The sequence below is a fragment of the Homo sapiens genome, chromosome 4 (genome assembly GCF_000001405.40).
Source record: "Homo sapiens chromosome 4, GRCh38.p14 Primary Assembly".
Taxonomy (NCBI): Eukaryota; Metazoa; Chordata; class Mammalia; order Primates; family Hominidae; genus Homo; species Homo sapiens.
The window spans coordinates 85,667,890-85,692,210 of record NC_000004.12 but is presented as its reverse complement, the minus strand read 5'-3'; the positions used below and the strand labels follow the sequence as shown (position 1 = coordinate 85,692,210).

General features: G+C 37.6%; 1 protein-coding gene across 2 annotated transcripts in view; it reads right to left on the bottom strand.

The window, feature by feature from the left end:
- ARHGAP24 (Rho GTPase activating protein 24) overlaps window positions 1-24,321 on the bottom strand; it is a 527,517-nt gene that overhangs the window by 310,456 nt on the left and 192,740 nt on the right. Inside the window, exon 1 of one of the 2 annotated variants that reach the window (XM_024454238.2) lies at window positions 19,106-19,206. The exons of the other annotated variant lie outside the window; for it this stretch is intronic. The gene's annotated coding sequence lies outside the window, so the exon portion shown is untranslated. Of the gene's footprint in view, window positions 1-19,105; window positions 19,207-24,321 lie in introns of those variants that run through there. 2 annotated transcript variants of the gene reach the window in all.

The following is a 24,321-nucleotide window of genomic DNA, read 5'->3' as shown; positions in this document are numbered from 1 at the left end:
TGTCAGGCTAGCAGTGGACTCTTCATCAAAAACTTTACAAGCCAGAAGAGATTGGGGGTCCATTTTCAGCATCCTTAAAGAAAAGAAATTTCAACCAAGAATTTTATATCCCACCAAACTAAGCTTCATAAGGGAAGCAGAAATAAATCCTTTTTAGACAAGCAAATCCTGAGGGAATTCATTTCAACTAGACTAGCCTTACGAGAAGTCCTTAAGAGAATGCTAAATGTGGAACCAATAGAACAACACCTGCTACCAAACAAACACAATTAAGTACATAGCCCACAGACACTATAAAGCAACAACTCTACAATCAACCAGCTAACAACATGGTGACAGGATCAAAACTTTACATATAAATACTAACCCTGAAAGTAAATGGCCAAAATGCCCCACTTAAAAGACACAGAGTGGCAAACTGGATAAAAAAGGTAACACCCAACCATTTTCTGTCTTCAAAAGGTTCACCTTACATGTAATGACACCCACAGGCTCAAAGTAAAGGGATGGAGAAAGATGTATCATACATATGGAAAACAAAAAGAGCAAGGGTCACTATTCTTATATCAGATGAAATAGACTATAAACCAATAACAATTAAGAAGGACAAAGAAGGGCATCGCGTAATGATAAAAGGTACAATCCAACAAGATTTAACTATCTTAAATATATCTGCACCCAACATTGGGGCACCAAGATTAATAAAACAAATCCTTCTTGACCTATGAAAAGAAATAGCCACTTAATAGTGGGAGACTTCAACACCACACTGATATCATTAGATAGATCATTGAGGCAGAAACCTAACAAAGAGATTCTAGACTTAAACTTGGCATTTTACCAATTGGACTTAATAAGAAATCTACAGAACACTACACCCAATAACCATAGGATATACATTCTTCTCATCTGCATATGGAACATATTCTAAGACTGATCAAATGTTTGGTCATAAAGAAAGTCTCAATACATTTTAAAAAAAATCAAAGTCATACCAAGCATACTCTCAGGCCATGGTACAATAAATACAGAAATCAAAATCAAGAAGATATCTGAAAACTACACAATTACATGGAAATTAAACAACTTGCTCCTGAATAACTCCTGGGTGAACATCAAAATTAAGGCATAAATCAAAAAATTATTTGAAGCTAATGAAAATAGAGATGCAACTTACCAAAATCTCTGGGATGCGATGAAAGCAGTGTTAAGAGGACAGTTTATAGCACCAAACACCTTCACCAAGAAGGTAGAGAGATCTCAAATTAGCAACCTTACCTTGCACCTAAAAGAACCAGAATAAGAACAACAAAAGAACATCCAATCCCAAAGCTATTAGAAGAAAAGAAATAACTAAAATTAGAGAAGAACTGAGCAAAATTGAGATGCAAAAGTCCATACAAAAGATCGATGAAACCAAGAGTTGGTTCCATGAAATAAAAAAAAAAAAAACAAGATTGACAGATCACTGGCTAGATTAAGAGCAAAAAAAAAAAAGGGGGAGTGGGCATGGGTGAGAACACCCAAACAAAATTAGAAATGACAAAGATGACATTACAACTAAACCTATAGAAATACAAAAGATCCTCAGAGACTACTATGGGCAAATCTATGCACACACATTAGAAAATCTAAAGGAAAGAGATAAATTCCTGGAAACACACAATCTTCCAAAGTTGAATGAGGAAAAAATGGAAACCCCAAATAGACCAATATCAAGTTCTGAAATTGAATCAGTAATAAAAAATATACCAACACATACACAAAAAGCCCTGGACCCTGAAGTCACAGCTGAATTCTACCAGGCATACAAGAACGAACTAGTACCAATCCTACTGAAACTATTCAAAAATATCAAGGAGGAGGGACTCCTCCCTAACTCATTCTATGAGCTGGAATCAGCCCAATACCAAAACCTGGCAGACACAATAAAAAAGAATTTTTTTTTCTTTTATTTCTGATAAATATCTCTGATGAATATCTCTGATGAATATCTCTGAAGAATATCAATGCAAAAATCCGCAACAAAGACTGGATCAACATAAACAAATCAATAAATGTGATTTACCACATAAACATAATTTAAAATCCATATGATCATCGAAATAAACATAGAAAACTTCCAATAAAATACAACATCCCTTCATGATAAAAACTCTCTACAAACTAGGCACTGAAGGAACACCTCAAAATAAAAGTCATCTATGACAAACTCATGGTCAACATTGTACTGAATGGGCAAAAGCTAGAATCATTCCCCCTGAGAAGTGGAACAAGACAAAGATGACCACTTTCACCATTCCTATTCAACACAGTACTGTAAGTCCTACACAGACTAATCAGGCAAAAGAAAGAAATAAAAGGTATCCAGATAGGAAAAGATGAAGTCAAACTATCTCTCTTTGAGGACTGTGTGATTCTATACCTATAAACCCTAAAGACTCTGACAAAAGGCTCCTAGAACTAATAAATGACTTTAGTAAAATTTCAGGATACATCGTCAATGTACTAAAATCAGTAGCAGCTGGGCATGCTGGCTCACGTCTGTAATCCTGGCACTTTGGGAGGCTGAGGAGGGCAGATCACTTGAGCTCAGAAGTTCGAGACTAGCCTGGGTAACATGGCAAAACCTCGTTTCTGCTAAAAAATACAAAAAAGTAGCCAGGTGTGGTGGTGTGCGCCTATATTCCCAGCTACTTGGGAGGCTAAGGACCAATAATCACTTGAACCCAGGAGGTGGAGATTGTAGTGAGCTGAGATTGCACCACTGCATTCCAGCCTGGGTGACAGAGCAAGACTCTGTTTCAAAAAAAATTAAAAATTTAAAAAAAATCACTAGCATTTCTATCCAGCAACAACATCCAGGCTGAGCATCAAATCAAGAATGCAATCCCATTTACATAGCCATCAATAAAATGAAATGCTTAGTAATATAGCTAATCAAGGAGGTGAAAGATCTCTACAAGGAGTACTACAAAACACTGCTAAATGAAATCACTTATGACATGAATAAATGAAAGAATAAACCATGCTGATGGATTGGAAGAATGATTATCATTAAAATGGCCATACTGACCAAAGTGATCTACAGATTCAGTGCATTTCCTATCAAACCACCAATGTTATTTTTCACAGAATTAGAAAAAATCTATTCTAAATTTTATGGAACCAAAAAAGAGCCCAAATAGCCAAAGCAATCCTAAGCAAAAGTAACAAAGCCAAAGGCATCATACTACCCAACTTCAAATTATACTGTAAAGCTACAGTAACCAAAAAAGCATGGTTCTGGTACAAAAACAGACACACAGACCAATGGAACAGCATAGAACACTCAGAAATAAAGCTGCACACTTACAATAACAAGATCTTCAACAAGGTCACAAAAACAAGAACATACTATTCAGCAACTGACTAACCATATGTAGAAGACTGAAACTGGACCCCTTCCTTTCACCTTAAAAAAAATCAACTCAAAATAGATTAAAGATTTAAATGTAAGATCTCAATCTATAAAAATCCTAAAAGAAAACCTAGGAAATTCTCTTCTTGACATTGGCCTTAGCCTTGGCAAATAATTTTTGGCTAAGTCCTCAAAAGCAATGGCAACAGAAACAAAAATTGACAAGTAGGACCTAAACAAAAGAGCTTCTGCACAGGAAAAGAAACCAGCAACAGAGTAAACAGACACTCTACTGAACGGGAGAAAATAGTCACAAAGTATGCATCTGACAAAGGAGTAATATCCAGAATTTATAAGGAACTTAAACAAAATAACAAGCAGAAAACAAATAATCCCATTTAAAAAAATGAGAAAAGAACATGAAAAGCAGCTTCTCAAAAGAAGACATATAAGTGGCCAACAAACATGAAAAAATATTCATTATCACTAATCATCAGAGAAATGCAAATCAAAACCACAATGAGATGTTATGTCACACCAGTCAGAATGGCTATTACTAAAAAGTCAAAAAATAACAGATGCTCAGGAGGCTGTGGAGAGAAGGGAACATATATACATTGTTGGTGCAAATGTAAATTACTTCAACTACTGTTGAAAGGAGTTTGGAGATCTCTCAAATAACTTAAAATAGAACCACCGGCCAGGTGCGGTGGCTCACGCCTATAATTCCAGCACTTTGGGAGGCCAAGGCGGGCGGATTATCTAAGGTCAGGAGTTCGAGATCAGCCTGGCCAACATGGTGAAACCCCATCTCTACTAAAAATACAAAAAATTAGCCGAGCATGGTGGCAGGTGCCTGTAATCCCAACTACTCAGGAGGCTGAGGCAGGAGAATCGCTTGAACCTGGGAGGTGGAGGTTGCAGTGAGCCAAGATCGTACCACTGCACTCCAGCCTGGGCAATAAAAGCAAAACTCTGTTTTAAAAAAAAAAGAAAATAGAACTACCATTTGACCCAGGAGTTCCATTACTGGGCATATACCCAAAGGAAAAGAAATAATTCTACTGAAAAAAGAAAAAAAAACCATGCAATTGCATGTTCATCACTGTTCACAATACAAAGACATGGAATCAATCTAGGTGTCCATTAATGCTGAATTGGATAAAGAATATATGGTATATATACAACACAGAATACAACATAGCCAGAAAGAACAAAATAATTTCCTTTGCTGCAATATGAATGCAGCTGGTGTCCATAATCCTGAGTGAATTAACACAGGAAGAGAAAAAACAAATACCACATGTTCCCACTTATAAATATTTAGCACAGGTGGACAAATACATGGGAACAACAGACAATGTGAACTACTAAAGCGGGGAGAGAGTAGGGGCTGTGGATTAAAAAACTACCTATTGTGTACTATGCTTATTACCTGGGTGATAGGATCCATGCCTCAAACCCCAGCATCATGTAATATACCCATGGAGCAAACCTGCACATGTACCCCCTGTATCTAAAATAGAAGTTGAAATTGTAAAAAAGACAAGAAAATTCAACCCTATGTATAAATAAACAGATAAATAAACCAAGTACCACCTCAGTCTTATCTGTTTCCCAAACTAAGCATCTTTACAACTTCTAATTTCTCCCTCAACAAAAATTTTAATTAAAATTATCTATCTATCCATCCATCATCATCATCATCATCACCATTATCTAATTAGAGATTTTCTTGAATCTCTAATTAGCAATTTTTCTTGAAGTTGATACAGGTATGTTTTCTCCCCCCTCCATCCCATGCCAATATTGACAAGGGGTGACACCTGGTAGGGATACAAAGAAGTTAATGGTAAGATTACTACATTGGGCAAGGGCTCCTTTACTCAGTTTCTAATGAAAGCCTTTCTGAAAATATTTGTAATGACCATAGCTATTGGCCAAATTTACAAGCAGAGAAGACTAATTTACTAATACAATGTTATAATTGTGGCTAAAGATCTTATGATTTTTTAAAAGTATTTTTTTCCTCTAATGAAGGCTTTTGATTAGTAATGCTAAGGAATAAATGTGTTCATATTTCACAAGTGTATTTGTATTTCACAAGTTATACTTTTCTTTTTCAATGAGCCATTGAACTTACGGACTTGTTTAATGTATGCAGGGCCTTCTTCACAAAGAGAGAGCATCTCTACTACACGCACAGCCCTGTAGGACATAAATATTATTGCAAGCATTTTGGAACAACTTACTCAATACTATATATACCTCTCCAGAATTTAATTTGGAAGATTTAATTAAAAGTCTCACTAATACAAGTCACCCAGGACTTCGTTTTCTTGTTAAATACCTCTTTGTCATGATTTATCCTGGAAAGAATACAAATAAAGTTCTTGAGACGGTTTTGTAATACAGGATACTCACTTCGCACACTAAGTATATAAAGGAAATAAGCTTTTACATTCTAAACTCTAGGTGCCATTTTCTCTAGTAAATGCTAGCTCCATTTCCTTTATTTTCATATTGGCTCATTATTCCTTATAGTATCATGTGACATATTAAATATGGGTGCCAATTCTTTGACACTCTTTCCATTAAGAGTTGGGTACTTGACTTTAGCTTTAAATATAAGTAGGCTCTGTGATTGATTTGAATCTGTGCCAATTTCTGTGCCCAGGCCAGTCTTTTGGGACCTTCTCTGGGAGAGCTGATCCTCCAGGGAAAACTACCAACTATCCTGAGACAGCCATGCTAGACAACCATCATGTAGGTACTCCAAACAGCAACTGAGACCAAGCACAGCTGCCTGCACCAAAGTGCCAGACCTGTGAGTGAAGCTCTCTTAGATCTTCCAAGACCAGTCCATTCTCCTATGAATCCACTACCAATCCACCCTGTTACTTCAGCTACTGCCAATTGGAGTAGAGAAATTGTCCTGTCAAACTTTCTACAAATTTCTAACCCATAAAATTGTGAAATGTAATACAATGGTTGTTGTTTTAAACCGCTGAGTTTTGGGATAGTTTGCTATGCACTGATACGGAACAGAAACATAAAGCAGTACCTGCTCTTGTAACAAAAACCTAAAATATATAGCACTGATTTTGGGACCAGGAGATAGGCAGAAGTCAGAAGCACTTTGTGGAGACTTCTTTTTCTTTTCTTTTTTTTTTTTTTTGAGACAGAGTCTCGCTCTGTCGCCCAGCCTGGAGTGAAGTGGCACGATCTCGGCTAACTGCAAACTCCACCTCCTGGGTTCACGCCATTCTCCTGCCTCAGCCTCCTGAGTAGCTGGGACTACAGGCGCCTGCCACTATGCCCAGCTAATTTTTTTGTATTTTTAGTAGAGACAGGGTTTCACCATGTTAGCCAGGATGGTCTCGATCTCCTGACCTCATGATCCACCTGCCTCGGCCTCCCAAAGTGCTGGGATTACAGGCGTGAGCCACCGTGCACAGCCCCACTTTGTGGAGACTTCTGTTGAGGGCATGAAAGACAGCAAGGAAATTAGAGGCCAGAGGAAAGGTAATCTCAATGATTAGTGGCAGAGTGTTTGGCAGCAAGGCAGGAGTTATAAGGTTGAAAAATATACCTAATGAACTGGTGGATTTGGCTAAGATTTTTAGGCAGAACATTAAAAAAGTAGCAAGTGGTTTCTTTTATCTGCATATAAGAATGTTTGGATAGAAAAAGATAAGCTTAAAAAACTGCTATAAAGAAAAATTTAGAGAAAATATGAAGGAGGCAAGACTTACTGAATCTAATAATGAAACCATTATCTTATTCCTAGTTTCTCCAGAAAACACAAGATCACAAAATACAAAATTGCCTCTGGACAAATAGCATATCCGAAACACTGCCCCAGTTAAGCAGTAAACATCTACAGAGTGTTACTGTAGGACACTTTGTTGAGACCTCAGAAAGTTTTAAGGGTATGCCAAGTAGAGCTTGTGAGAATCTCAAGGACATGACTCTCAGACTCTCTGTTGCAGTTAAAAGAGGCTCTAAGAATCTTAAGGATTTGCCTTTATTAGACACTAACAACTAAATAAAAAGGCTTTCAAGAAGCTTAAGGGCATTGTTCTACAGCACCCTGACTCTCAATCAACTGTACAGAACAGCCTCTCTCTGAAAGAAACATGGGTGTAGCTTTTGTTTAATAGGGTAGATTTATAATATGATACACTGCAGATCCACAAAATTTTAAAAGAAATTATATCGGCTTGGACGGAAACGGACAGCATAAAATGAAATTAGACCTATAATTCTCAATCTTCTACAGCACAGGAAGCAGGCTGAGAGGGCTATTCAGTTTTAAGCACAGGCCATTTCTCATTTCAAAGAATGAATGACTCAGGAGCAGCAATGTATAGATATTATACCATATAGCATTTTTTCTCTGGATGAAATCAAAATTAAAAAAAATTAAAATGTAATATATTTCATCATTAATCATCAGAGAAATAGAAATCAAAACCACAATGAAATATCATCTCATAATTCATTAGGATGAGCATTATAAAAATAGTAATTTAAAAAACAGAAAATAACAAGTGTTGACAAAGATGTGCAGAAAATGGAACTCTTGTGCACTGTTGGTGGAAATGTAAAATGGAAGCCATTATAGAAAACAGTTTTTAGCTTTCTTGAAAAATTAAAAACAGAACTGCTGTATAATCCAATGATCCCACTTCTGGGTACTTATCTCAAATAATTGAAAGTAGAATCTTGAAGCAATATGTTTATTGAAGCAATATGTTTATTGCAGTGCTATTCACAATAGCCAAGAGGTAGAAACAACCTCAGTGCCCATCAACATATGAACTGAGAAAATGCAGTATATATATATACAATGGAATATCATTCAGCCTTAAAGGAAATTCTGTTATATACTACTATATGATGCAACCTGGAGGACATTATGCTAAGTTAAATAAGCCAGTCACAGAGGACAATATTGCATTATTCCACTTACACGAGGTATCAAAAATAGTCAAACTCAGAGAAGCCAAGGTAGAGAGATGGTTGCCAGGAGCTGGGGGTTGGAGGTTGGGAAAGGAATGGCAAGTGCTATTCAGTGAGTATAAGTCTTAGTCATGCAAGATGAGAAAGCTCTAGAGATCTGCTGTACAACAATGTATTATATATTTAAAATTTAAGAGGGTAGATCTCATGTTATGTGTCTGTTATCACAATAAAATACATAATAAAAATCTAATATGTTTTAAAATCACAAAGTATTACAACTTCAAAATATGTTAAAATAATCAAGGGCAGCTAATCTAATGGAAAGCATGTTTTTATCATAAATTAGTTCAAATACTTTTTTAAATAAGTAGGTGAGTTAAGAGTTAAATGAGCAATCAAACAATTCAAAGTTTATGGTCTTTTTATAGATCCATGTATAAAGTGGGGCTTTTAAGAGCAGTTTTCTCTGTATCAATAGCTGTGCTCCCCTTCATGGGCTAGGATAGAATTTAATCATACCACACCATTACAACGTGTGAGAGAATTTATGTAAACCTGTGCTGACAGATGGAAAGGTTGATAATGGAAATAATACATTCCCTTTCCCTACCATGCTCCTCAACAAACCCCATGTTTCATATTTATAAGAACTGCCATGTTTTTGTTATTATCAATATTTACTAAATCTCACTGCCACCTTTTTACAGCCCCCGCACCCCCCCCCCACCCCCCCACACACTGAGAGAGTTAAGAGTTGATGGAGGTGAGGAGTAAAAGGTTTAACTCAGTTCATGCTTGCAACCCTAAACTCAAGATCAGTATAGGTATAGAAATCTATAATTTTCCCTCATTTATTGTAATGTACCAGGCAAAGTCAAAAGAAAGATCATTTTTGGTATGGGAGATTCATGAGCAAATCATATTATGTGTCTTTGAAAGTGCATAATATATTGGAGACGCATGAGGTATATTGGCTACCTTAGTGAGACACAGGAATAATTCTACTTCTCCAAAGAAAGTTCCCTCTACATTGTATCCTTTACAGAGAGTCCAATACTCTTAAGCTAATCAATGCAGTTTTCATAGTGTCTGCTTCTGAGTGTCTGTCAAGAGGAGGAGCTTGCAATATGCTTTGCAAGCAAAGTGCAAAGAACCGCATAAAGTGGCAGTAATATTTTGCTCTTGATTATTCAACTTTAACTATGATCTTTTGCATTGCTTGGAGGCAATTACTTGAATTATCTCTCTGGAGGCTAAACTGATGATTCTGCATTTCCATATCATCTCTCTTCTTGCTGGCTCCCAAAACAATGCTGTTTGGTCTGCATGTGGCCATATGAGAAGGCCATAGAGCTGGAAGAGTCAGGATGGCTGTCTTTGATTTCCCTTAGGTAATTCTATAGGGCCACATGGAAGCCTGACTGTTCCTGCTTTGTAAAAATGCACAAGTCTGAAACAACACAAACCACTGGCTATTCTCATTCAAATAAGATACTTTAATTGTTTTCTGGTAATAGAGCAAACTAGCATACTATTTTCAAATTAGAGCACTCTGCTGGCATAATTGTAAAGTCACACAATATAAATAATCAAGAATTCTGTTCTATCTGTGGCTTATTATGGTTTCTTTACATCTTTGTTTTTAACGCAATGGCAGTGGATTGCTCATACTAACACTTAGAGGACACTGTCCAGCTGAGCTTGGTCAATGCTTCCAGAAAGGGATCCTCCTTTAGCGGAGAATATAACACAGTGTTTAAAAGCCCAGAATTGAGTTAGATGGACTGATTTAAATTATGCTCTATACTATGTCCTGATCTCGGGCAAGTGTCTTAACTTTGCCCTGTTTCTTCATCTGTAAAATGAGGATAATAGTAGCACCTACATTCTAGGAGTATTTTAAGGATTAAATGTATGCTCCATATAAATTATTTTGAATAGAACCCAAATACTAAGTGGTCAATACATTTTAGCCTGTGATATTTATTTTATTTGTCCCTACCCTTCACAAGAAAGCATTTGGTTATTGAATTGAAAGTGACATGAAGAGCTAAGTAAAAGGCATGACTTCTGTCCAGCTTAGACAGCTCAATTTTCTCCATGAAGATCCTGTAGAGGATCCTGCATGAAGAACTGTTACCTATTGTGTTTTGCATGCAGGATCTGAATACATAGATTTTTCTGAATCATTATATTTAAAGTTGCATGCATATAAATGCTTTGGCCTCTTTCCTAGAAAACTCGGGTACTCTCCTGGGGTGATCTTGTGATTTCCAGATGCATTCAGAAAACTCAATGCAGCTGCTATCTACTATTGACCAGCCAGCACTGGCTCCACTGTGCTAAACAGGAAGGAGCCCTGGGAGGGAAGTGGAGAGTTGAATGTCACATGAGTTAGCAAAGGCTTTCTTGAACTTACATCATGTTTAATTGTATCAAATGCTGTTCATTGTGTGGTTAGGCTCGTGGTGCTTCTTGGATGAAGGAACAAGGAGAAAAATTACTGGCATCTGAAACAAAACCAGAAGTCTCTGTTTATTTGGGACCTCAAATTAGACTTGAGTCATAGGATTGTCAAGTTGCTTATGCTGGAGTCAGCTGGGCTGGTTGGCTTCTTATAATGCAATAGACAATTCTTATTTAATCCTACTGTCTCATAAAAAAATTGAGAAAAGACAGGTTCAGAAAGCAAGACTTGATGAGTTAAAACACCATTTTAGTTTCAAGTCTTAAAATTATACTGGGAGTTTTTCTGCATATTTTAAGGCTCTGTTGAATTTTGAGAACATTCTACAGTATAAAAGCTCAGGTGTATCCTCAAGACACATTTCTGGATTCCAGGGCTGTCCTTTAAACAAATGTGCTCTAAGAATTCTCTCTATAAATTTGTCACTTTAGGAAATCATCAGAAAAATATGAAAAAGAAAGGCTCATCACTGAGATTTTTCATTCTTGTTAGAGGGGACTGTTAAGCTTCAGGAAGGCTGTGATACTCAAAATATAGGTCTTAACTCATGATATATGTAGTGCTTTATTATATATTATAATTATAATTATAATATTATATATATTTATTCCCCATTAAAATGGGGAATAATGCAAAGACATCCAGGCACATGGGTTTGGTTTCAGAATATTTTCATTTTTTATTTAATTTCTGCCACTTAATACCTGTGAGACCCTGGATTAGTCACTTGAGTCCTCTAAATATCAATTTTACTCTGAGACATGTAAAGACAGCATTATCTCACACTCTACAGGTGCTATGTGGGTACATAATAGAAACAGGATACTGTAAGTTGGAATGAAGAAGCCATAACTCCTGGGTCTGTGATCTCACGGTTTAATATCATCAAAATTTAAATTAGAGAAGATAAGTGAAACTTCTTTGATACTTTTTTTGGCTCTCAGTATTAAGCGATTTCAATTTTGCAAGTCGTTTTCACATCTGCAATTTTCTTTAGCAGGATGACATTCAATGAAAGGTTGACTATGCATTGGGTAGGCAGGGCTTTATAAAAACCTTTCTTATAGCTTTCAGTTTCAGCTAAATTAAATTTATTTTTGTTTTGAAATGAGAGTTGTTCAAGGATATAAAGGTAAACCTCTGGAATTTGGTAGTTTCATATCAATGGGACTATTTACACAGAGGCCAGAAAGTTCCCTTGTACTGCTCATGCCGATCAGATTCATAATATTAGAGATGACTGTGATTGGATGATATCAACTGCGGTGTTGATGATGCACTTTTCCTGGGCTTCCTTACTGTCTCATGACCATGCTACATTTTGGCTCTAAAAGGATCTTCTCTTCTCCTCGAAGGGAGGTAGAAGCAGAGAGGAAAAATTTCAAATTAATGGCAATCTTTAAAACCTTCAGACTAAAAATATGATAGAAAGTGCAGTTGGGTAGAACCAATATATTTCCTCTTATCTACCCTTTATTTCCACTTTCAACTGGTTTTTCAAAATAATGTAATTTTGAACTGTAATGGGTGAAGAGAATTAAAGGAGAGAAGCAAGAGACAGACACTATTGAGACTCTCAGAGGAAAATGTCTGTATCTGACCACCTTGAGCTTAGTCTCCTCAGGTTAGCATGTCAGGAAGGCGAGTGGCAGCATTTCCCACTCCATCCCAACATGGTGTAGTACCTGCAGAGTATAGGATTCCAGGGAAGATGAAGGGCAGTCAAATCTTCATGTGCCTCAAAGGAGGACACTGGAATTAGCTGTGAGTAGAAAATGTGTAATGTGGAGGTGCGTAAGATGAAAAATTAATGGACTGAGGGCCAGAGACCAGTAAGACCAGGGACATTATCTTAACAGATACAAGTATGCAGGGGTGACTTCTCTGAAGAAATGATTTTCATCACAGTGGATGTCAAAGGAAACCAAAATATTTCACCCCAAAATACACTTCCTCAATACATTTTGGCACGGCTGTTCAGAGGGCCCAAACAGAAGTAGCCCTGCAAATCTGTCTTTTGTGGGGGAGATTTGCATCTGTAGAGAAATAAAGTGAAGTAAACAAAAGATGCAAACAAGCTTTCTCTGAAGCCCCCCTTGTCCAGGTCTAGGAAAGATGAACTGAGAGTATGAACCTTTAAAGATCTGAGAGAAATATTCACCATCTATTCTCTCTGAGGGCTGCTACCTGCAAGCTTTCATCTACACCACAAGACCACCTTTGCTAGCCAGGTTTCTCCTCTTCTTCCTCTCATATAACTTGTCTTGCCATGCTCTAAGCTCCCCTATTCTTTCTGTAACCTCAAGATGGTATAAAAGTGTCAACCATCTTGCCTTTCTTTGAGTTCTTATATTTTGCGTGACTCCTGCGCCTGTCAATAAATTTGAATATCTTTTCTTGTGTTAATCTGCTTTTTGCAATGGATTTCTTTTAGCAAACCTTCAGAGGATAAAGGGAAATTTTCCCTTGGCCCCTACATTGCCAGCATGCATCGGACACCTCTCTGGATGCTGTAGCCTTGTACTTCCTATAACAAAATGTCCATTTTGGAGATGAGAAAGGAAAGATCCTGTTTCAACTGACTGTAAATCTGAAAATGACTAAGACTTGTTTGAATCATGTTTTTATTGTCAGTCAGAATAGGAATTTGAAATTCAGATGAATATGAGCTATATAAAAATGTAGTTACACTTTATTTTGCACTGTTTGTAGTCTGATACATTGATGCTGACTTTACAGATCATTTTTTCAACCTGACTGCCTAGAATTACAGTCTGAACAATCAGAAGCTTCCTGGTATTAATCATATTTCTCCAAATGACTTTATTATTTGGCTCTTGTTTTAATGTTTTGCTTGTGTCTTTCATTATGTGATTCCTTTAAATTCTTTTTGAAAGTACTATAAATGAAAACAAATTTGGGCATTGAACCGAAAATTCTTGATTGTGTTGAACTTTGATACTACTTTTCAAAGAAAATAGCCCTTTTGCTTGTTTGTTTGTTTTAGAGACAGAGTCTTGCTTTGTCACCCAGGCTGGAGTACAGTGGTGCAATCATAGCTCAGTGCAGCCTCAAACTCCTGGGCTCAAACGATCCTCCTGTCTCAGTCTCCTGAGTAGCTGGGACTACAGGCAGGTCACCACTATGCCATGCTAATTTTTTTACTTTTTGTAGAGATGGGGTCTCACTATGGTGCCCAGAGTAGTCCTGAATTCCTGGCCTAACGTGATCCTCCTGCATTAGCTTCCCAAAGTGTTGGAATTCAGGCATGAGTTACCATGGCAGGCCAGGAATAGCCTTTTTTTAAAATTTTTTTCCTTTTTCTTTTTTTTTTCTTTGATGGAGCCTCACTCTTTGGCCCAGGCTGGAGCACAGTAGTACAATCACAGTTCACTACATCCTCGAACTCCTGGACTCAAGTGATGCTCTTGCCTCAGTTTTCCCAATAACTGGGACTACGGGCACACGGCCCCATGTCTGGCTAATTCTCTATAGAGATAGGGTCTTGCTATGTTTTTCAGGCTGAAACAGCTCTTTAAAAACTTGATAAACTAGTAAATTAATTAGCACATTAAAATTAGTGAGAAACAAGAGCCTACAAAATGGAAAGTTAATACATAATACCAACAAACAGTTGGCTTGTGCTCATTTTTCTGACATTTGATGTTAAGTGTATCTCTGACCTAAACAGACTAGGTGTACACATGACATCACTTGCTTTTGGCCAGCAAACCTGGACTTTATTCCTTTTACAGAATCACTATTAAAATAAATGAAAAGCTCAAAGGAATTTTACCACTGAAATGTTATCAGAGGACTCATAACTGTTCATGGTTAAAAACTCACTTCATCATTAACAGCAGCAGCAGCAGAAATGAGTACATCCTTGGTGGTCTGCCAGGTCCAAAGGCTATCTGGAAATATATTCTGAATGTGAAATAGGTTAATTAAGCTCATTGTTCCCTGGCTGTCACTCTAAGGGACAGCAGGGAGGTACCGGCTGTGTGCCTAACTAGGTTGGGTAGCAAACTTGAATCCTTCCCACCCCTGAATGTGCATATAAAATGTGGGTTGCCTGCCAAGGTCAGGACTACAAGATAAATTTCTGTACATAAACATAACATATAAATGGAGGATTAAAAGCTCATTAAGATGTTGTGAGGAGGATAAAGAGAGAAGAGCAAAGCAAAAGGAAAAGCAATGGCTTGCATGTGTGTCTGTTGCTAATGACCTTTATTTAATCAAAGCTACTTGATTCAGAGGATATCCACGTTGCTCAAGAGGAATGCTTCTTGTTGTATAAAAGCCTGTACGAAATCGTTTTCCCCCAGTGTGAGTGCTCTGCTCTGCCCCCGTTGGGTTCTTCCACCCTGTGTGGCTGGAGCCTCCCTTCTGGTAGCCTCAGGAAGGCAGTGGCTCTGCTTGCTTGTTTCATGTGCTGCCACTTCTCAAGTCCTGCTCTCACCTGTTTCTTTTAATGACACTGGAATAGGAAATATGGGAATCCTTTCCTTACCATGCTATTGTACTTCAAAACAACTACTTCTTTTGACAGAATTAAAGTGCAGTATATTTAGGGAATGAGCTAACATTGCTCTCCGTGTCTCTGCAAGTCTTTGAAAAGATGAATGGGTACTGCTTGGCCCCCTCAGACACTATACTGATCTTTTCATAACCCTTTTCCTTGCTCTTCCCAACTCCAGACCTAAAATGTGCACTGTGAATACCTACAATAGGTCCTTGGGAGCCAAAAGGACCATTGGTAACAATAGGAGAAACAAGACAAACATTTAAGTTTCCTAACTCCTTGTTCAGTGTTCTTTTCCCACTTGGTTAGAGTTCAGACCCTCCACTTACCCAACACTACCAACTCCACCCCTAAACCCAGACCCCAAGCCCCAACTGAGCTGCAGATGTAAATACAGTTTCCGGGGGAGCTTGCTTAACAGTTGTTAAATTATAATGAAAAAAATCAGAGTTTGCCCCATTTAGAGGATTTTGCAAAATGATCTCTCTGAGTCCCTGGAATATGCACAGCAGCAGCAAAGAAAAATGTCAGCATTAATTTGATATGGCTTTTTGTTGCAAGCAGGACTGCTCATTAAAAGCTTAAACAGGTGGCAGGTTTGGCAGCCCAGTGTGTGTATTCTATGTACAGATTTATTATGCCTTTCATTTTAAAATATTTGTGCCGAAACAGACTCAGTGAGATGAATTATCTTGTTCACAAGAGCATTCTGTTCAAGGCTGCTATGATAACTGCCATATCAATCAAATTATGCAATGAAAACTTACCATCAATTTTATCATCATTATCAATTATTTATAACTTAGGAAACTGTTTTCATTTCTTCTCCATTTTGATTTTGTTATCTTCCAGGAAACTTTTACCTCACAGTGGGAGACAGTGTCATAAAATAGGGACTGTATACAGGATGTCACTTCAGTTGCTGAGGTCCAGGGCAGGAGTCAGATATGCATTTCAAAGCAAACATAATTACATATGAACAGCATTGGCTCTAACCATCCTGCCTGATGACTTTGAGTGGATAGGAGCACATAAACATCAGAGGAATGTTCAAACAATAAGGCAGCTTTGCTTTGTCAAATGAGATGAGCTACAAGCCAACTGAAGCTCAACATAATGTCAAGCAAAGCAAAGCGCACACTTCAGTCACCGCCAAGCCCTTACATGGTTGGAATGACTCCATAGGCTCAATGTAATCACTTTTCCAGGAGCTGGGACTTTCTACTGGCAATGCCCACCATCTTGGGAAGGCGGATCTCACCAACTTTAAATGTTACGGGAAATCTTTTGTTAGAAGGTTATCCATAAATTGTTACCCCGCAATCCAGTGTCTCACAGACCCTTCCAGGTTCTTTTGGCCACTGCAGTATCCAGGGTTTCAGGCACATTAACCATTCTGCCCTTCTGTTAGATTTATTTTCATTCTGGCCTGCTAATGCCACTTCCCACAGCTGCAGAATACATGCTGAATCTCCCTGGAAGCATACTTTCCTATAGAAAACATTCATAGAGGACTAGAAAGGGTAGATGATACAACGTGCATTTCTCATTTGGACTCTTGCCTGACTTCCATGAAGGAAACCCTGATTATGTACAGTATTGTCTTAGCTAAGTATCTCAGGGACACATGCGTCATGGTTTTTTTCAACTGGCTTCTCACTTACATAATTGGCCTCCTCTTTCTGCTACATGCAGCCTTTAGGTTTTCACTCCTGCCAAAGGACAATGCTTACCAGTCTTTACTTGCTTGTTTTTTCCTCACCAGAGGTGTCCTCTCCTATATTGTAAACCAGATCAGTTATCTTTCTTCAAAATACTGCTCAAGAATAAGCTCCATGACAAGTTTTCAGCAGAACCCTCTGATTACAAATTGTTACAGCTGCCCCATGCTTGTGACGAGATCTGTGCAACTCTAATTGGCTAGACGTACATTTGTTTGTGGCTATTTTTGGCTTTGTTTTTGTCCCCATAATCCATAAGGAACTCTCAGACAAATAGTAACAAAAAGTTTACCTCAGGCAGATCCATCAGGTCAATTCAAGATGGTTATAGGAGTCATGGAATGTGAATAATTAGTTCAAGGTTTACAAGGTTAATCCTGGTATATCCTGCATAGCAACATTACACAGATTGGCACATCCTTACATGACAATGAAAGGTGCCATTAACTCATTGATTTTCACAATTAGTCTTATATCAAAAGGACATAGGACTTGGAGTTAAAATGACTGAGTTCTAATCCTTGCCATATCTCTGCTTACTAACTGTGTGATGTTAAGCACACTGTGGCAACTGCAAATGCAAATTGACTTAGATAAGTTATACATGCATTTATGAAAGTATAAAATATAAAGGGTGATTTATTGATTTAAAGATTGATGTTGCCACCATATATCAAAAAGATTTTGTATTATTCTGGGGTAAATAATAAAACAATTCATATAATCTCCCTAAAAGATGAGTGCATCTTTGACAGGGAAGATAAACAGTCTGAATTTGAGAGTTAGAGAACTGTTCAGCAAGACTGCTTGAATTTGCCTACTTTTTTCCCTTTTAACTAGGCTGGCAGAAGAGAAAGAAACACCATTATTTCTGCTATGGCAGTGGTTCTTAAAGTGTGATCACTGGTCCTGCAGCATCAACAGCATCCAGGAAAACTGTTGGAAACGAAAATTATTGGGCCCCACCGCAGATCTACTGAATCAGCCCTCCAGATGGTTCTGATGAATGCTAAAGATTGAGAACCACTGCGTGGACCAGTACACTGGGGTTTAGTCCCAGATGCCACTAACTTGTTGGGTAAGTCGAGAGCCCAGGCTAGTGTAAGACATCATGAGAGTCTGTGCATTATTAACAACACATTAGTCCAGATTTTCTACCAGTGCAGATTTCTTGTAATGTTATTATTTCCATTAAATACAAGCTACGCAACAAAATGAGATTTTATAAACCTCTGTAGGGAAATTCACAGGTTTCAGAAAAAGTGCTTTGCCAGACTAAGGAACCAGATTTTGGGGTTCTGAAAATACGCCCTGGCAGTTATAAGAAAAAAGACTCTAAGTGACTAAGTAAACTAACCAGAATTTAGCCATCAACTTTCAGAATAACTCAAGGGAAAGTCATCCTCTCAATGCTTAGATCCCCCCACTGGTGTTTCACTTTACCAGTGGGGAGATCTAAGCATTGAGAGGATGACTTTCCCTTGAGTTATTCTGTATTAGAATGATCTCCAAGCTCTTTTCTAGCTCTCCAGGTCTAAATTTGAGACTTCTTTCTTCTCTCTTTCTCTTTCACTCACATCTTGAAAACTGCATGCACAGAATAGAACAGAAGGCATAAAGGAAAGGACAGAGAGAAACACTGACTGAGAAGCAGAGAAAGAAAAGAGAGTTCACAGAGATTTCATATTTTCCAAACCATGGAGTGGTTGAAAGATATCATAAAATTCAGCTGTCAAGTGAGTATGGAAGAGTATCAAAATTTAAGTATTATACAATAAACTGTTTGCATCTTTTAAAAGGAAACTGCATGTAGGTGAGTGGGGACACCTTGAGAGCTTTCTGCACAATTATAAAGGAAGATAAAGAGCTGTCCCAAATAAGGACTGCCCAAGTGCAGAGCTGCGATAGAGAATCTCTGAATCCAGGCCACTAAAGGGAAGTGCACTTGAACAAAAGGAAGGGCAACAGGGTAGCACAGCTGCTATAGACTGAACATTTTCTTTGTGCAAGCTCATGCTTACCTTGTTAAGGGAAAGCCTTCTCTCCAGCTCGATCTATCAAAGCCATGCCACATCCACTGACTAGCCTTGTAAACGTCAAACTCACACTCTCCCAAGTTCAGAAAAGAGAACTAAGTTGAATACCTACAAGAAATCCAGCACCCTCAGAGAAAGAGTTGCATATATTCAATGTATTGTTAAAGATAGGGTGCTATTACACCACTATGGTTGCAGAACATCAAATCAACAGACATGAAGAAAATAAGCACTCAGCAGGGGAGATAATTAATTACAAAAAGAAAGGCAGCCAGCCTTTGAGAATGCAAGAATTCAGCATTTCCCATTTCTCCTTTCCAAGTGTTTTCAAATAAAGTTTTTTCCCCAGTCCTCATCCTGATTGACACTTAGCATCAAATGTTTCCCCACCATGGAGAAATCCACACAACCAGCTTCTTCCTGTACCACCAGAGCCCAGCTGGAACCAGGAATACCTCTCTTTTTGGTTTGTGCTAAAACAGATGAGTAGCCAAGCTTTGCCTGCTGATGAAGAGTAATAATCACGCTGGTAATGGGAAGATTCTGCCTTAACTCAACTGCCAAGATCAGCCTGTGCAACTCCAACCAAAGGTAGGATGGGACGGATAGGTAGGAGGAGGATACTGAAATATAATCATTCTTATCAGTGTCTTCATTGTGACATCTGTGTGTATTCTATGCTTTAACTGAAACAAAGTTAGGAAGTCCGAGAGTTGAGAAACCACTTGCTCACTCCCAAAGGAAAGCTAGACTAAAAGGAAACAGAAGTTAAAAGTATTTCAAAAACAAGAGAGGTTTATAGCCGGAAATTGAAAGGGCCTCATCTGGCCACAACATGGCTTAATTAAACATTGCCTCTCCCTAGTTCATTCCAACTCCACTCAGATTTTCTCTCAATGTTCTTTTTTCTTTATGTACAGGGCTAAGTATTTTTAAGAGAAATTTAATCCATATGGTTTCTGATTCATTTACACACATAAAACTCAACAGAATGACTCCTGGTGTGCAAAAAGTTCTCTGAGCCTGTTTCCTCCTTAGGAACAGAAAACTGTGTTGTGTTCACATTAAACTCATTCATTTTTTCATGGGTTAACATTTCACTCAAAAGCTTGGGGCCCAAAACGATGGAATGTATTGAAGGTTGGTGAACTCAGCTCCTCAAATGGAAAAAAAAGCACCTACTTACTTCAGACCCTGGGTCTTTGAGGTTTCTCAGTGTCCATTTTTAGGAATAGTTCTGCATGTGTCCAATAGTACATTTGTAGCACATTCTTCTTTTTAGTAGAGGCATTATTAAGAGGTATCCATTTTTATAGGCAATCCTACCCTTCAACTATAATTTCCTAGCTTCAGAAGTCAGTGTAAGAAAAGTTCTACAGAAAGCTCTGCTCTGAATCACATAAATATACTGGATACATAAAAAGTATTTTTGGAGATTCCAGAAGAAAAAGAAGCATATTCTTAACAGAAATGGAAGGCCTGTGCTCATAGCTCCAAAACAAAAGTCTACAGCTAAAACCTCTCTTTATATATACCTCCTGTCTTCTTCAACCACAAACTTTGTTGAATCACTTCTATTCATCCACACATCTTTTACTTTACTTGCATTTTCATTTGACAAATATTTATTTCATTACCTACTTTGAGCCAAGCCACTGGAATATAAAAATCTAAATATTCATTTGATTTCTTAGGAGGAAAGATGCCAACAAATATATGATAATTATTATAATGGACCTGTGGTTAAAATATAGAGGAAACACAGGGAAAAAATACCATGTAATACTTGCTGAGAAGTGCAGAAAGGCTTAGAGAAAGCAAAGCTAGAAAGATAGTCAGGCTTTTTGCAGGTGGATGAATCAAGGGAAGGAAAGGCTATTTAGAGGTAGCATTTAGTGTAAAGGCACCGAGGCATTAAAAAAATTGTGTTTTGCAAACTAAACAGAGTTCAGTATCGATGAAGCAAAAAATACAAGGTGTCATCTAAGAATATTCAAGAAAGGGGCCCAATAACGTAGGGTTCTATATGTCATACAAAGTAATTTAGATTTATCTCGTAGGTCAGTTGTGCTCAATTGAGTGTGACCATTAGAATGATCTGCGAATCCTTTTTTCAAACACACACTTGGGCCCCAATCCCAGAGATTTCCAATTTTGTAGGTCTTGGGTAAAGACTTTTATGTACATTTTCTTAAACATTCATGGCCCATGTCCCTGTTTGAGAACTGCCTGAGGCTCATAGGGGCCACTGAAGTATTCTAAACATGGGAAACCCATGATCAGCTTGACTATTAGTTGGTCCTTTTGTGGACAATGTGAAGAAAATTTTGCAAATGATCTAAAGTACAGGGAGTGGCTTAAAGGCAATGCAAACTTTCCAACAAGAACAAATGTAGTCCTAAGTTAAAGGATGGCAAGAGGCAAGGCAAGAGAGTTTGAAATAAATAATAGTAATTCAGTCACAAAGAATAAATGAACTAAAACTATACCCCCTCCCTCCTTTCTGGTGTGGTGACACCATTCTCCAAGAAAAGAGACACAAAGAGAAGACAGAGGACAGAAAAAAGTGAGCTCAAGTTCTCAACTGTTCAGTTGATTGGATTCAGAATATAAATTATGTAGGAGATTGAGAACGTATTAATTTAATATGCCCTAGAGCTTTCTGCTCTGTTTGCAGTATTGGTGATTCAAGAGTGGCTTTATTTGAATTGGCTAACGTAGCACTTATTAAGATTTCACAGTTCCAAACACTATGGGCAAGATGTAATTCTAACTTAAGTCAAATAAATGGCAAACAGAATCACTCTATCCTAACCTGAAGGTTGACAGGATATGAAGTAGGCAACCTAAGAGAATTTTTCTCACATCCTAATCTCCTTTTCTGTCTTTGCTGGCACCATCAGGCACCGTGGTTCATGTTCAGCTTATTTATGCAGCCAAACAAGCTTGGCAGTTTATTGGAGAGGAAAATGGCTGAGTTAAATATTATTGAAGTAGGAAAAAATATTCCTGGGGTAAAATAAAGTTTGCAGCCACCCCATTCCAACTGAATAAAAATTCCTTTCCACAGCTCACACCCCTCTCTCCTCCTCCCACTTTTCTAGTCTCCTTCTGAGGATCAGTGCTCTGGGGACCTGCACTAAAGCCCCAGAAGAGGTGTTGACACATGTTCCTACCCAAGTGGATAATTTAGTCACCAATATGCTGGGTTTATTTTTTCTGAATTGCTGCAAATACCTATATCTTTTATTGTACTTTATAGTAGATTCACTAAATTATTCACTAAATTATTTTCCTATTATTATCATCTATGGAAGAGTTCATTCCACTAAATATATGATTAGATTGAAACTTCTGATGCTTCACATAGAAGTTTGTAATATAGCTATATATATCACATATATATATATATATATATATATATATATATATATATATATATATATTTGAAAGTACAGGGTCAATGCAGTCTACCCTGTAACTTTTTAATTCAGATTTTTAATATATATGTAAGCATATTTGTGTGTCTACATGTGTGCGTACCTACATACCTACATACAAACATACGTACCTTTTTATGGGTCATTTCTTCTTTTTAACAGCGCTTCCTCCCATCAAACACTATTTCTGTACTTTTCTTCCAGACTTCCTCTTCCTTATGTGATGTCTAGACTACTGTAAATTGTGACTGCACCAGAAATATTAGAATGGGCCTATTGAGCTGCTGCTACAACACACTGCCACAGTGTGTTGAAAGTATGACCCTGAAACCTAAATCAGGCTTATAGGGTAGAGAAAAGTCAAATAAGTATCAAAATTCCTCAATTACATAACATCATGTTGTTTCTCTAGATAACTTGCCTCAGGAGTGAAGATTGAATTTTGAGGCAATTTCTGCATGGACACCAGTATAAAAGGTGAATTTTGAGAGCTCAGCACCCCTGAGTTTTGTCTACCCAACAATGAATAGTGTGGTCACTGTGCTAAAAGCTGAGACCCCAAAGATACTAGAGCAATTTCTGTCACTCAGTAATGCGATAACAACTCAGAGAATCACACACACACACAAAGGCACATAATGAGAATATTAGAAATTCAACCACTGAACCTAGGACCTAAATCTACCCACTTTCAATGTTCATCTTAGTTCAGACTCTCCTGTCTTAGTTACTTCACCAGGTTTGTAACTGACCTTCTTTACTTTTATCTTTCCATCTCCTTTCTTTTCTCCAAAGCTAGAGCCAGAGAAATCCCTCTAAAGTACATATCCAACATTTTAATTTACAGCTTAAACTCCTCCATGATCCCTCATTGTTCTCTGGGTCAAGTTCCAACTCTTTAACGTGGATTGGATCATGAGGCCTATCATGAAGAACCGCCTGCATACCCCTTTATCTCCTAAACTTCCCCTCTCAAACTCAGACAGAGTAAGATGTTAAAAAAGCCAGGCTCTTTGCAAGGACAGTCACATCTTCTCTCCCTCTTTGCCTAACTCCATCTCATCTTTTGATTCCAGAGTAAAGGTTTCTTCTTCTACTAAGATGCCACTAGCCTCTTCTCTGTGCTACTATAGTAACCTGTACTTGTCAGTGTTTATATAACACTTTAAAAATGCACTCTAATTTTGTATCAGCACCCTTTGCTCTCTTTCATTTTTACCACCAGATCCTTGTGGATATAATTTTATTCTCCTAGTAGCCCCTGTGGCTAGCTAAGTGCCTGCACCCAGTAAATTCTCAATTTCTAGTTGTTGAATAGATAGATGAAGGAATGAAATAAAGCTGTTTAGCATTTTCTGTTTTGCTTTAATGGTCTTTAACCTGACAACAGAGAAAATTACAAATTATAAGTCTGCTGAAAGTGTATGAACATAGTATTAGAGTAAACCAACTAAAACACTGAATGGAAGTTAGGGCAAGTGTAGTTTAATAAGGAACTCATTATACTCTGACTTCTTCTGTTTCTTGTTTTTCAGCCTATCAAAAAGTGCCACTAAACTGAAGGGGATCACAAGAGATAATCTCAAACAGCATTTAAATAAGCCTTGAAATGTCTAACTTTTCTACATTTACAAGACTTTTAATATTTATATTACTCAACCACTTAAGCAAAACATCGTATTTGTTTATTTACCCTTTCCATAAATAATTTTTAGGTGTCACCAGACCCTACGCTCAATTTAAGTGTATTTCCTTTTCCTT